The following is a 13,821-nucleotide window of genomic DNA, read 5'->3' on the forward strand; positions in this document are numbered from 1 at the left end:
ACCAGGAATAGAAGAGAATTTCTTCAACCTCATAAACAGCATGTACAACAACAACAACAAAAATCCTACAGCTGACATCATACATATCGGTGAAAAAATAAATACATTCCCCATAAAGATCAGAAACAAGACAAGGATGTTCACTCTCACCACTTCTATTTAATATGGTATGGAATTTCTAACCAGATAAATTAAGCAAGAAAATGAAATTTTAAAATATCAATATTAAAAAGGAGGAAGTTAAACTAGCTCTCTATATCTATTTGAAGATAACGTGATATTATATATAGGAAATTTTAGAAATACTCAAAAACACTACAGAACTAACACATGACTTCAGAAAGATGCAGAATATATTATCGTTTTTGAAAAATCTATTGTATTTCTATACAATGAACAGTCTGAAAATGAAATTACCAAAGGCGGTGTTAAGAGAATGTAAAAACTGAGATGCAGTTTTTACAAAGTATCCATCTGATAAATCTATCTACCCAGAATACATATAAAAACTCTCGAAACTCAATAAGATAACAATCCTAATAAAAAATGGGAAAAGATTTGGATAGACATTTTACAAAAGAAGATGTACAGGTAGCAAACCAGCACATGAAACTATGCTTAACATTATTAGCTACTAGGTAAATATGAATTAAAGCCACAATAAGATATAAATGCAGGCCTTTTAAAATGGCTAAAATTAAGAGAAAAAATTACTGATCATACCAAATGTTTGTGAGGCTATATGCACAAAATGGAAGGCTGCAGAGCAATAAAAAAAACTAGTAGTATACCTCAAAACGTGGATAATTCTCAAAATAGTTATGCCATGGTAAAAAAAAAAAGAAAAGAAAAAAAGGAGTACACACAGTATGGTACCAATTATACAAAACTCTAGAAAATCCAAATTAATCTATAGTGACCAAAAGCAGATCAGTGCTTGCTTAACATAAAAAGGGATTGTGGGAGTTACAAAACACTGCTAGGAAATTTTTGAGGGTGATTAATATGTTCATTGTCTTCTTTGTACTTTTGATTTTTCACAGGTCATGTATGTGTTAAAATCTATCAGCTTGGGACACTTTCATATGTGCAGTATATTTTGTATAATTATATTTCAATAAACCTATTTTAAAAAGAAAAAAGCAACATTCTTTAAGATTCTATATTGAGTAAGCACAAAAGAAAGGCTAAGATTTTAGTTCAGTGCTGAAAAGAAGAAACAGTGCAAAACAAATATTATATGAAAATAACAGAATACTGCACATAGATATAAAAAAATCATCTGGACTAGAACTATCTTTTAATTCATACAAGTTAAATATTAGCTCCAGATACTTGGCAAAAAGGAACTGGATCCAATGTCAGCAGCCACTGTGAAGGCAGCAAAGACTGAAGCATAGGCCTGAAGTTGGGCTGCCTCAGTTTACAAATCTTGGCAACCCTGATTACATCCTGGGTGACTGAGGGCAAATTACACAACTTCTCTTTGCTCAGTCTTTCATTTGTAAAGTGGGAATAATATCTACTCCATGGTGATTTTGAGAGGATGAATAGATTAGGGCATAGGAAGCTACTGAGGATGAGAATGATCTATGGTTCCAAACAATAGAGCATACATTTTCCCACTAAAAATAACTTGCCTTTTTGGAGAAATGCTGATTTTAGGTCTGGCATAGGAAATATACAAGATGATTCTGGAACATTTTGTCATACCACGAAACAAAGAAGCTTTCAAGCACTGTCAGGAGTATAAAAAGACTCAGAAGCCGACTTGCATTGTTCCCACTCTCTAAAGAGGGTACAATTTTTGGTATGGGATAACAACTCAGTAGATTAAAACAAATAAAAAATTTTAAACCCATTATTTTTCAATTATACTGATAATAATAATAATAGTACTCATTGTTTATCTTTAGAGAATATTAGAAAACCAGCTCATTATTTTGAAAACTGGCAAACAAAAGTGAAAAATTAGGCATGTATTCTGCCCTTAATTTGTACCACTTGATAACTGAAAAATTAATGGGTTTATTTCTTTCTTATAGAGGTATTCTAGCTTAAAGGAAAAGGAAATTGTGAAATTAGAATATCATCTTCTGACCCCTAAAAAATTCATGGATCTAGGAATAATCAGCAACAACTGCTAACATCTCAGGAAGAGGAAGAACCAGGTATTTAATACCTACTGACTGAAGAAAACATAACCACCTATTCTAAACAAACTAACCACTCTGAAACGATGCAAGGCTTTACACTTGACCACCAATTCACTAGAAAAATCAGGGAATGGCTGGACATATTAAACAACACCATGTAGACACAATCTGTAAAATCCAGAGTGTGGAAAATTCTAAAGGACAAACCTTGGTTTCTTTAACAAAAACATCAACAGCAACAGCCAAAATTTGCAAAAAAAAAAAAAAAATTAGGAACAAAGAAAAGCATGTATATCAAAAGAGACATATTAACCATTCACGATGTTTGGACCTTATTCAGATCTTCGTTGAAACAAACTATTAATAAGACAATCAGGAAAATATGTACATGACTGGATATTTCATGATATTAAGAAAATATTGCTATGGATATTAAGTGTGGTAGAGGTATTTTGGCTATGCTAAAATAGAGACATCTTTTAGAAATACAGAAATATTTACAGATAAAATAATATGATGTTTTTGATCTTAAGGGGGAGGTATAGATGAAACAAGATTAGCCGTGAATTGAAAATGATTGAATACTAGGTACATCAGGTTTCTAATACTATTCTCTCTGCTTGTGGGTGCATTTGAAAATTTTCATAGTAAAATCTACCATCTGCTTCATATAAATTATTACCAATATGGATACTTCAAGCTCCAACCTTCCCCATCAAAATTATTTTACTTACAGTATGTTATCTTTCTGAGAGGTATTGGTATATGAAGATGTTTAGACTGAGTGGGCCCTATCTATTAGAATGAAGACACTGACTAGCACAGTGATCAAAATTAGATAAGCAGTTCCCCTTAAATCCATTGAATCTTGCCATGCACTATAATAGCCTCTCAGCTCCACATACAGATCCACAGTCCTGCTGTAAACTATACAGGAGTAAAGTCCTTATAAGCTAATAATGAAGCATGGCCTCATTGAAGACAGAGCCAGGAATCTGAGTCATCAGCCACAGTGTCATTACAAGGCACCCAAGAAAACAGCTGGCACTACCTGTTCTCCCTCCAGGTCAGGAGAAAGCCACCAAGAGTAATGCAGCTTTCTGTTACTGCTAGCCAGGAGCCCTGCCCCATAAGTTTTCCCTCTTTTACAAGCAGTACATTTTTTTATAAAGAGTCTGTACCTTGTTTACATTTTCCAGAGAAACCAGACTTGTCACCCACAGGTGTTTGAGCTTGGTGGCATCTGAAGTGATGGGGAATGTTTCTTGCAGCTTTAAATGCTCTCCCCAGATTGCCAATAAACCTTCTTTACTAATTGTCAGATAATGACTTGAATTTTTTAAGAAAATTACTTTTTGAATGGTGTCCTTGTGTTTTACTGGGAGGAATTCAAGGTCCTTCCACTGGGGCACCACAGTTGCCTTTGCTCGTTCATCTTGCTCATAAAGCTCTAGCAGTATAAATGAAGTCAGCTTGTCCCAATTAATGAAGCCATCTTGGGCCACATCCACTTTGTCAAAGAGCTCCCCATATTCTTCCTTCGTGCCCCAACCAACAATCTCTGTCATCTTCTGCGTGAAGTCTTCTCTGGACATACAAATGATTTTCCTTGGCTGTGGGGACTAGAAACAGGAATCCAAAAACAATAATGAGACAACAGTGAAATCATCATATGCATGAGAGAACTGTGCTACCCACAAAGGTGAATTTAATCAGCAATTCTGCCAACATGAAAAGAAAAATATTTTTTGCTTCATAACAGTAATATACTCAAGTGAACTTAAACTGGGGAGCAAGTAACTGACAGGACTAGAAACTGACATTCTCAATCACAAAAAGTCAATCACAAAAGTCCTTGTATCGGGAAGAGTAAGGCAGGAGAATATGTGATGATAGAAGCATGGAATGATGTGAGGCTGCGAGCCAAAGAATTCAGGTTACCTCTATTTAAGCTAGAAAAGGCAAGGAAAGGTTCTCCCCTAGAACCTGCAGAAGAAAGACAATCCTGACAACTTGATTTTATCCCTGTAAAACCCATTTGGGGCTTCTGAACTCCAGAACTGTATATTAATATATTTGTGTGTTTTAAGTCATGGTTTTTGGTAATTAGTTACAGCAGCAACAGGAAATTAGTACAGGCATATCTCCTTTTGTTGTATTTTGCTTTATTGTACTTTGCCGATATTGTGATTTTTACAAATTGAAGGTTTGTGGCAACCTTGCAAGTCTATCAGTGCCATTTTTTCAATAGCATCCCTACTTCGTATCCCTGTGTCACATTCTGGTAATTCTTATAATATTTAAAACTTTATTGTTATTATTATTATATCTGTTATGGTGATCTGTGATCAGTAACCAATCTTTGATGTTACTACTGTAATTGTTTTGGGGCACCATGAACCACACCCATACAAGACAGCAAACTTAATTCATGAGTGTTGTGTATGTTCTGATTGCTGCACCAATCAGTCATTCTGCTTTCCCTCTCCCTTTCCTTGGGCCTCCCTATTTTTTGAGACACAAAAATATTGAAATTAAGCCAACTAATAACCCTATAATGGCCTCCAAATGTTTAAGTAAAGTCAGAGTTTCACGTCTCTCACTTTAAATCAAAAGCTAAAAATGATTAGGCTTAATGGGGAATGCATGTCAAAAGCTGAGAGAGGCTGAAAACTAGGCTTCTTGCACAAAACAGCCAAGTTATGAATGTAAAGGAAAAGTTCTTGAAGGAAAAGTGCTATTCCTTTGAACACGTTAATGATATGAAAGTTAGACAGCCTTACTGCTGCTGTGAAGAAAGTTTTAGTGGTCTGGATAGAAGATCAAACCAGGCACAACATTCCTTTAAGCCAAAACCTAATACAGAGCAAGGCCCTAACTTTCCTTAGTTTTTTGAAGGCAGAGAGAGGTAAGGAACTTTCAGATGAAAAGCTGAAAGCTAGCAGAGATTGATTCATGAGGTTTGAAAAAAAGAAGTCATCTCCACAACATAAAAGTGCAACATGAAGCAGAAACTGCTGATGTGGAAGCTGCAGCAAGTTATCTATAATCTCTAGCTAAGATAACTGATGAAGGTGGCTACACTAAACAATACGTTTTCAATGTAAATGAAACAGCCCTATTTGGAAGAAGATGCCATTTAGGACTTTCGTAGCTGAGAGAAAAAGTCATGCCTGGCTTCAAAGCTTCAAATGGCAGACTGACTCTCTTGTTAGGGGCTGATGTAACTGGTGAGTTTAAGCTGAAACCAATGCTCATTTATTATTCCCAAAAATCTCTGAGGCTTTTAGAATTATGCTAAATCTGGCTGGGCACAGTGGCTCATGCCTATAATCCCAGAACTTTGGGAGACTGAAGGGGAGGATTGCTTGAGCCCAGAGTTTGAGAAAAGACTGAGCAACATAGTGAGACTCCATCTCTACAAAAAATAAAAGAAATGAGTTGGGCATCGTGAGCCTGTAGTCTTAGTTACTTGGGAAGCTGAGGTAGGGGTGTCACTTAAGCCTGGGAGATAGAGGCTGCAGTGAGCTATGATTGTGCCACTGCACTCCAGCCTGGGCAACAGAGCAAGATCCTGTTTCTGTGCTCTATAAGTGAAATAACAAAGCCTGAATTACAGCACATCTGTTTACAGCATGGTTTATTGAATATACATGGTTTACTGAATATACAGTGTGGTTTAATGAAGCCCACTGCTAAGACGTACTGCTTTGAAAAAATATTCCTTTTAAAAGGGTACTGCTCCACCATGTCCCTGGTGGCTCAAGAGCTCCAACGGAGATGTACAAGGGGATTAATATTGTTTTTATGCCTGCTAACACAGTGTACATACTGCAGCCCATAGATTAAGAAATAACTTCCAGCCTTCAATTCTGATTATTTAAAAAATATCTTTTATATGGTATAGCTGCCATAGACAATGATTCCTCTGGTGGATGTGAGCAAAGTAAATTAAAAACCTTTTGGAAAGGATTCATTAGAATGGCATCATTTTAGATGCCATTAAGAATATTCATAATTCATGGGAGGAAGTCAAAATGTCAAAATTAACAGGAGTTTGGGAAAAAGTTGATTCCAACCCTCATGGAAGACTTTGAGGGGTTCAAAACTTAGATGAAGAAAGTAACTGCGGATGTGGTAGAAATGACAAGAGAACTCGAATTAGAAGTGGAGCCTGAAGATGTGATTGAATTGCTGCAATCTCATGATCAAACTTAAATGGATGTGGGGTTGCTTCTTATAGATGAGCAAAGAAAGTTGTTTCTTGAGATGGAATCTATTCCCGTTGAAGATGCTATACACATGGTTGAATGACAACAAAGATGTAGACTATTAAATAAACTTAGTTGATAAAGCAGTGGCAAGTTTTGAGAGTATTGACTTCAATTTTGAAAGAAATTCTATTGTGAGTAAAACACTGTGAAATAGATCTCATGCTACAGAGAAATCTTTCATGAAAGGAAGAATCCATCAATGTGGGAAACTTCACTGTTATCTTCTTTAACAAAATTGCCACAGCCGTCTCAATCGTCAGCAACCACCACCCTGATCAGTCAGCAGACATCAACATCAAAGCAAGACCCTTCACTAACAAAAACATTACCTCTCGCCAAAGGCTCAGATGATTGTTAATATTTTTTAGCAATAAAGTATTTTTTAATTAAGATATGTACACTTTTTTAGATATGTGCTATTGGACATTTAATACCCTACAGTATAGCTTAAATATTTATCTTTTATTTGCTCTAGGAAACCAAGAAATGTGTGTGACTCACTTTATCCTGATACCCACTTTACTGCAGTGGTCTGGAACCAAATCCGCAATATCTCCGAGGTATGCCTGTCAAGTGGTTGATGAAAATTGAGTGAATCCCTGAAGAGTGCTTAGTGAAGCCAGTAAAATTACCCCATGGTGAAACTTTAATCAAAGGGCAATAATTTAACTTCTATACATATGCCATAACAAAGAACAGTGAAGCCACATGCAATTGATTCTTGCTGTTCGTGGTAGCTATATTCTGTAAACTCTCTGAGAACACTAAATTAGCAGATACTGAACCATTGTTCCTACGGGAAACACAGGGTTAAGTTTCTGCAAACCTCTGCACAACTGCTCACTGCATAATTTTGTTTTATGTGTGTTTCTGTTGAAAGACATCTTATTTAATATATTGTTAATTAATCACAATTAAATTCATAGTCAACAGCATCACAACTCGTGCCTGAATGAAGCTAACACATGTATCTTCTCAGTAAGACATATCACAGCCTTCTTAGGCTTAGGAACGCTAGCCAGCACTCCACCACCACACTTGGGGGCCATTTTAAACAGCGAAATCCGCAACAATAAGCACAACATGTGAAAAACGTGGCACTAAAGAGATGTTAAAAACAATGAGATCACTTGGACACAGGGTGGGGAACATCACACACCGGGGCCTGTCAGGGGGTGGGGAGCTGGGGGAGGGATAGCGTTAGGAGAAATAACCTAATGTAAATGATGAGTTGATGGGTGCAGCAAACCAACATGGCACATGTATACCTACATATCAAACCCGCACGTTGTGCACGTGTACCCTAGAACTTAAAGTGTAATGAATAAAAAAAGAAAAAAGAAATTGCCATATGGTAAAAAATAAATAAATAATTTAAAAAAGAGATGTCAAAAAGGACGCTTGTTTACAATATGAGAGCTGAAACAAGAAAGCAGAGTGTTGCCTTGTTTGATTCTGCTTGGAATGTACACATTGGGAGACTCAAATTTTTTGCCACTCTGCACATGTCTGAGAAGGACCATTGAAGTGCCACGAGTATTGATTTGGGGATGAATAAATTTTAGGAAGTAGGCAAATTTGCAAGTATAAAACTCACAAATAATGAAGATTAACTGTATTTCAAGCAAATATTTAGCTTCACGTTGATGGGCTGTTTAGTTCAGTGAGATTCATTATGAGAGAATAAACTTTTCCCACCACATCGAAGCGAGAGTCAGGCCTGGAAGAAGCACTAGAGTCAGCATATTGTGGAGCAGGTCAAACCAATGTAGGTTTAAGCCTGGTTCCACCAGAGATCGTGAGAACTACTGGCAAGGTACTTCACTGCTAAGCCATAATTTCACATCTGTAAAGTAGGTAAAGCAGTATCAGTTGCAAGAAAACTGTTATGAAGATTAGCTGAAATAACAGAGGTTAGTTTAATGGAGGTTAGTCCGGGCACTTAACTAATTAAAATAACTTTCTGAAAAATAATTGATATCGAGCCCTTTGAACCAGCCAGGAGTTAATTATTCTTATCTTTGTTCAGTTATTAAATGTTTAGATAGCTGGACATTTTTTAGTGATCCAGATTTTAAGAGTAGAGAAAGAAACCTGGTCCTAAAAGTGCTCCATCTGTGTCAAAACTGCAAACTATTTCTGAAAACTAAGGCAATGTTGATTTTTATTTTAAACTATTACATAATGGCATCAATCAATCTCTTAGATTGTCTCGTCAATAAAACAACATTTAAAAGCAGGATCTCTATATTTTCTTCCTATGAGCTGGTAGTTTATTTTTTATTTCTAAGAACAAGAAACTACTCGGACAAATATCAAAACAACTTCTTTTTTACATTTAAGAATGTAGTATTAGAAACAAATTGTAAATGACAAATTTTCTTTTCCAAAGTGATATAAGCAATGAACTACATACTTTTCTACACATTGATAATACCAATATCCACTGGGGAAAGAGACAAGAAATATGCCTAGGTTATGAAATTTGACCCAAAAAGTACAATTGTATGATATCCCTGGCAGTTCTGTTACCAATTGTTCACCCATTAGCTTGTTAAGTTTGAAAATGAAACTATGTTTTTGCCATACCTCCAGTTAAAATCTAGTAGTTTGTTTTTACTAAAAAATCCTAACTTTTTTCAAGAAGCATGATGTTTTGATTAATACGTTATTAATTCTATCATATGCCAACTTGAATAAATTAGTTAAATGTACAATTAAGGTAATTGATCTTTTATACAAGCTTAAAAGCACAAATGCATTAACTTTTACCACACAATTAATTCTTGCTTTATCAGTGACTCCCACCCTCTGGAACTAGAATTAATTCATTCATCTCATCCTACTATATATATCATACACTGTGGTTGGGAAATTGTGTGGTAGTGAAGAAGGTGGAGCTCTAAGTCTTAGCCCCAATTATGGCACCTCTAAATAGGAATAATAATAACAAATTCCTAGTGCTGTTATGAGGATCTATTCATAATTTAATGTACATATGGCACATGGGATAATTTAATGTGTGGATGGCACATTTATACTCAATAAATGTCAATGCTTTGCTGAAGGGTTTAGAGAATAGAAGAATTATAAATTGAGTCATCATGTCAGCAATGACGGTTTTCTGAGAATTTAGCCAAACTCGTGTGTGTGTGTGTGTGTGTGTGTGTGTGTGTAAGGTTTTGGAGGTGTTCATAATTATTAATATTAGTGATCTCTACCAGGGTGGCTAGTTGCTAACTAGATAGTTCTTAGAGATTTCTTAGGGACCCAGAGAATAGGTGCAGGAGACTGTACCAGCAGAATGGTCTGAAATCCTCTGCTTCTATGACTATTACCATCATAGCAGCAGATGCTAGTTTTTGTCTTAAAAAGAAACAACTATTCAAACTGTTTCAGCTGCTCTTCCTCAAAGGCACAAATAGAAAGCTGTCCTAAGTGAGCCTGGTGAAAGTAAAGTTTACCTGTTCCCAGAACCATGGCTCTTTCACATATACAAGAGCGACATTTCATCCATGTGAGTAATCCCAGCTTCTGTCTTGTCTTTAGCCACTCGTAGTGCTGCTCTGTGAGCCAAATATCCCCATCCTGGACTTGGCAGAAAGTAATTCCACAGAAAGAAAGCAAAGATAACCTTTCAATCTAAAAAATGAACTTGCGTATAGCATCATTTAGTTGCTACAAATTCTTAGTTTTCATTAGATTCAATACTGAATGGCGAAATAATTTACCATTGAGCTATCTTTAGGGATATACATACATATACATACATAGACACACATCTTTAAATTAGTGCTAATTTAGTTAATGTCTGGGTTTTATGCCTGGGTTTGACACATAACATTTGTATTCCCTTAAGCCAGTCATGACCTCTCTCAGGGTTTGCATGAAGTACCAATAAGATTGTCTGTATGAAGGCCATCTTCTTTACATTAGGCAACTCTATTCAAGCATTAATTATTGTTGACACATGTACAACAGTATGAATTCACAAGTATACACTTAATATAGATAGGGAAATACTGGGAATTTCGGAAATTTTACTTCATTATAAAACATAGAGCATAAAATAATTCTCATTTTCATTTCCTTCAATGAAAAGTTTAATTACTATGGCTTTAATAAAACCTTTATTATTCCAGTAAACAATGTGTTCCCATTCAAATGTAGACTTTCAAATAAAAACTGCTTAATAGTGTTTTAAAGATATGTCCTTTGATTCTTATTAATCTATATTATCTATATGGTCTTTTTGAGGTAATAATTAGTACTCATGCCTCTGTTAGAACTCCTCTTCTAATAAAGGTGAAAATTATATGAGCCATTAGAAAACATAATCTCATTCAGCTCTTCCTAGTACAATGTTTTGCTACATTTATTTTGCTACATCTATTTAACTGCTAAGAAAATAACCAGTTATTAAATTGTCTACAATTGTTGTTGCAAGAGCCAGAAAGCTAATATACTCAGTATGTCCAGCTGATTATATCACTAGGCACAACTTTAGACCTTTTGAAAATGTTCCTGTCTTCCTGAATTCTTTTCAAAGAATATTCTGAAAATCATTTCCTTTTGCCTAAAAAGCATGTTTTTCAGTTACAGTCAGTTCTAGTGAGCTGCCTGTCTATTTAGAAAAAGCATAAACTCTAAAATTTCCTTTAGCTCTGAGCTTTGTAAGATTTGGATTTAACCATAACTTATATGAAAACTGAGCTCTAACCCTAAGTGCAAAACTTTAAAAAAAAACCTTGAAACTTGACAGGCATTTTTGTCATTAAGAAGAGATCGTGTGCCATTGGCAACATGTGAGTGTGCCAACATACTTTTACAAATGTTTATTTGTTGCACAAAAGAATCCATGCTTATTATAGAAAATGAAGATAAGTTAAAAATTAAAATCATTTATAATGCCATCAGCCTTTCAGATTTATTTCTAGGCAGAAACAGAAACGACCAGTTATTATTTACAAAATAGTGTCATGATATACATACATATCTTTCTATGTTGCTTTTTCCACTTATATCATACCATAAAGCTATGCCTCTTATATATTGGTCTTTATTACAATTTTTAATGGCTGCACAATATTTTATAGAGAAGACATACAATTATTTATAACCCCATTATTAAAAATTTCAATTATTCCCAAGGCTTTACAGTTTTATATAAACAACCCAGCAACATATATATATTCCTACATACACATCATTGCTAAGCTGTCCAATTATTTCCTAAGGGAAATTCTCTAGAAGCATAATTACTGAATCAAAGAATTTACATGTCCTGAAAATTGTTTTTATATATTTTGCCAAATTCTCTTCTAAAAGGTTAAATAAATTTACATTCCCATCAATAAAGTAGGAGGTTGCCTGTACTCAAGACCCTAATAAAGGTGGGGTATTATTCTTCTTAAGACTTATCGATTGGTTGCTAAAGTATAGTTCTATTAGTAATAAGCCTAAATATTACATACTTTCAGGAGGAAAAATATATTTCTAAAGCAGACATTTTATTTTTCAAAATCTGCCAACCCTTAGAAATGTTGTTTATATTTTTGTGCCCTCTTTCCAATAGCATACTTCATAATGAAATGAGGAAAGAAATACTTTCTTTTCTCCTACTCTGCAAATAAGAACTTGACCAAGACAAGATAAAAGTCCCAGTTTAACACTACTGAGAGAGGACAATCCAACTTGGTCTGGGTATTTTCTCCTCTGTCAAAGGTTGGCAGTGGGTTAGCATTTCACTGACCCGAGGTTTACTGCCCTTAAGTCATTGGTGAGTATTTGTTTCCAGATCCTGAAAATAAATGTCAAATGATGAGTTGTAAGCCACTGGGAGAAATAGGTCCATCCATCCTTCCACCCATTGATCTACTCATTAATAAATACATATTAAAGATGTATACCATATAAAACAGCACCAGTTAGGTATACGTATTTGTTCAGTCAACAAATGTTTATTAAGTGTCTGTTCCATGCCAAACATTATTCTAAGCACTCACCACTAAATTAAAAAAATTTTTTTTTATTTCCATAGGTTTTTTGGAAAGAGGTGGTATTTGGTTACATGAGTAAGTTTTTTAGTGGTGATTTGTGAGATTTTGGTGCACCCATCACCTGAGCAATATACACTGAACCCAATTTATAGTCTTTCATTCCTCAACCCCTTCCCACTATTTTTCCCTGAGTCCCCAAAGTTCATTGTATCATTCTTACGCCTTTGCATCCTCATAACTTAGCTTCCACTTATGAGTGAGAAATACGATGTTTGGTTTTCTATTCCTGAGTTACTTCACTTAGAATAATAGTCTCCAGTTACACTGAGGTTGCTGCAAATATCATTAATTCATTCCTTTTTATGGCTGAGTAGTATTCTGTTGTATATATACGTATATATATGTATATACATGTATATATATATACCACAGTTTCTTTATCCACTTGTTGATTGATGGGCATTTGGGTGACTTCCACATTTTCACAATTTCAAATTGTGATGCTATAAACGTGTGGGCAATATCTTTTTGGTATAATGACTTCTTTTCCTCTGGGTAGATATCCAGTAGTGGGATTGCTGGATCAAATGCTAGTTTTACTTTTAGTTCTTTAAAGAATCTCCACACTGTTTTTCACAGTGGTTGTACTAGTTTGCATTCCCACCAGCAATGTAGAAGGGTCACCTTTTCACTACATCCATGCCAACATGTATTAGTTTTTGATTTTTTGATTATGGTCATTCTGCAGGAGTAAGGTGGTATCACATTGTGGTTTTGATTTGCATTCTCCTGATCATTAGTAATGTTGAGCATTTTTTCATATGATTGTTAGCCATTTGTATATCTTCTTTTGAGAATTTTCTATTCATGTCCTTAGCCCGCTTTTTGATGGGATTGTTTCTTTTTTTCTTGCTAATTTGTTTGAGTTCATTGTAGATTCTGGACATTAGCCCTTTGTCAGGTGTATAAAGTGTGAAGATTTCCTCCTACCCTGTGAGTTGTCTGTTTACTCTGCTGACTGTTCCTTTTGTTATGCAAAAGCTCTTTAGTTTAATTAAGTCCAGCTATTTATCTTTGCTTTTATTGCATTTGCTTTTAGGTTCTTGGTCATGAAATCCTTGCCTAAGCCAACCTCTAGAATGGTTTTTCCAATGTTATGTTCTAGAATTTTTATAGTTTCAGGTCTTAGATTTAAGTCTTTGATCCATCTTCAGTTGATTTTTGTATAAGGTGAGACATGAGAACCCAGTTTCATTCTCCTACATGTGGCTTGCCAATTATCCCAGCACCATTTGTTGAATAGGGTGTTCTTTCCCCACTTTATGTTTTTGTTTGCTTAATTGAAGATCAGTTGGCTGTAAGTATTTGTCTTTATTTCTGGGTTATCTATTC

General features: G+C 35.1%; 1 protein-coding gene across 4 annotated transcripts in view; it reads right to left on the minus strand.

Moving 5' to 3' along the window:
• Window positions 1-13,821, minus strand: part of WDR49 (WD repeat domain 49) — a 179,240-nt gene that overhangs the window by 144,831 nt on the left and 20,588 nt on the right. For 3 of the 4 annotated variants that reach the window (NM_001348951.2, NM_001348952.2, NM_001366157.1), the window contains exon 3: window positions 3,338-3,778. The exons of the other annotated variant lie outside the window; for it this stretch is intronic. In NM_001348951.2, the coding sequence (NP_001335880.1) occupies window positions 3,338-3,778 (441 nt within the window). The remainder of the gene's footprint in view (window positions 1-3,337; window positions 3,779-13,821) is intronic. 4 annotated transcript variants of the gene reach the window in all.

This window comes from Homo sapiens, chromosome 3 (assembly GCF_000001405.40).
Source record: "Homo sapiens chromosome 3, GRCh38.p14 Primary Assembly".
Taxonomy (NCBI): domain Eukaryota; kingdom Metazoa; phylum Chordata; class Mammalia; order Primates; family Hominidae; genus Homo; species Homo sapiens.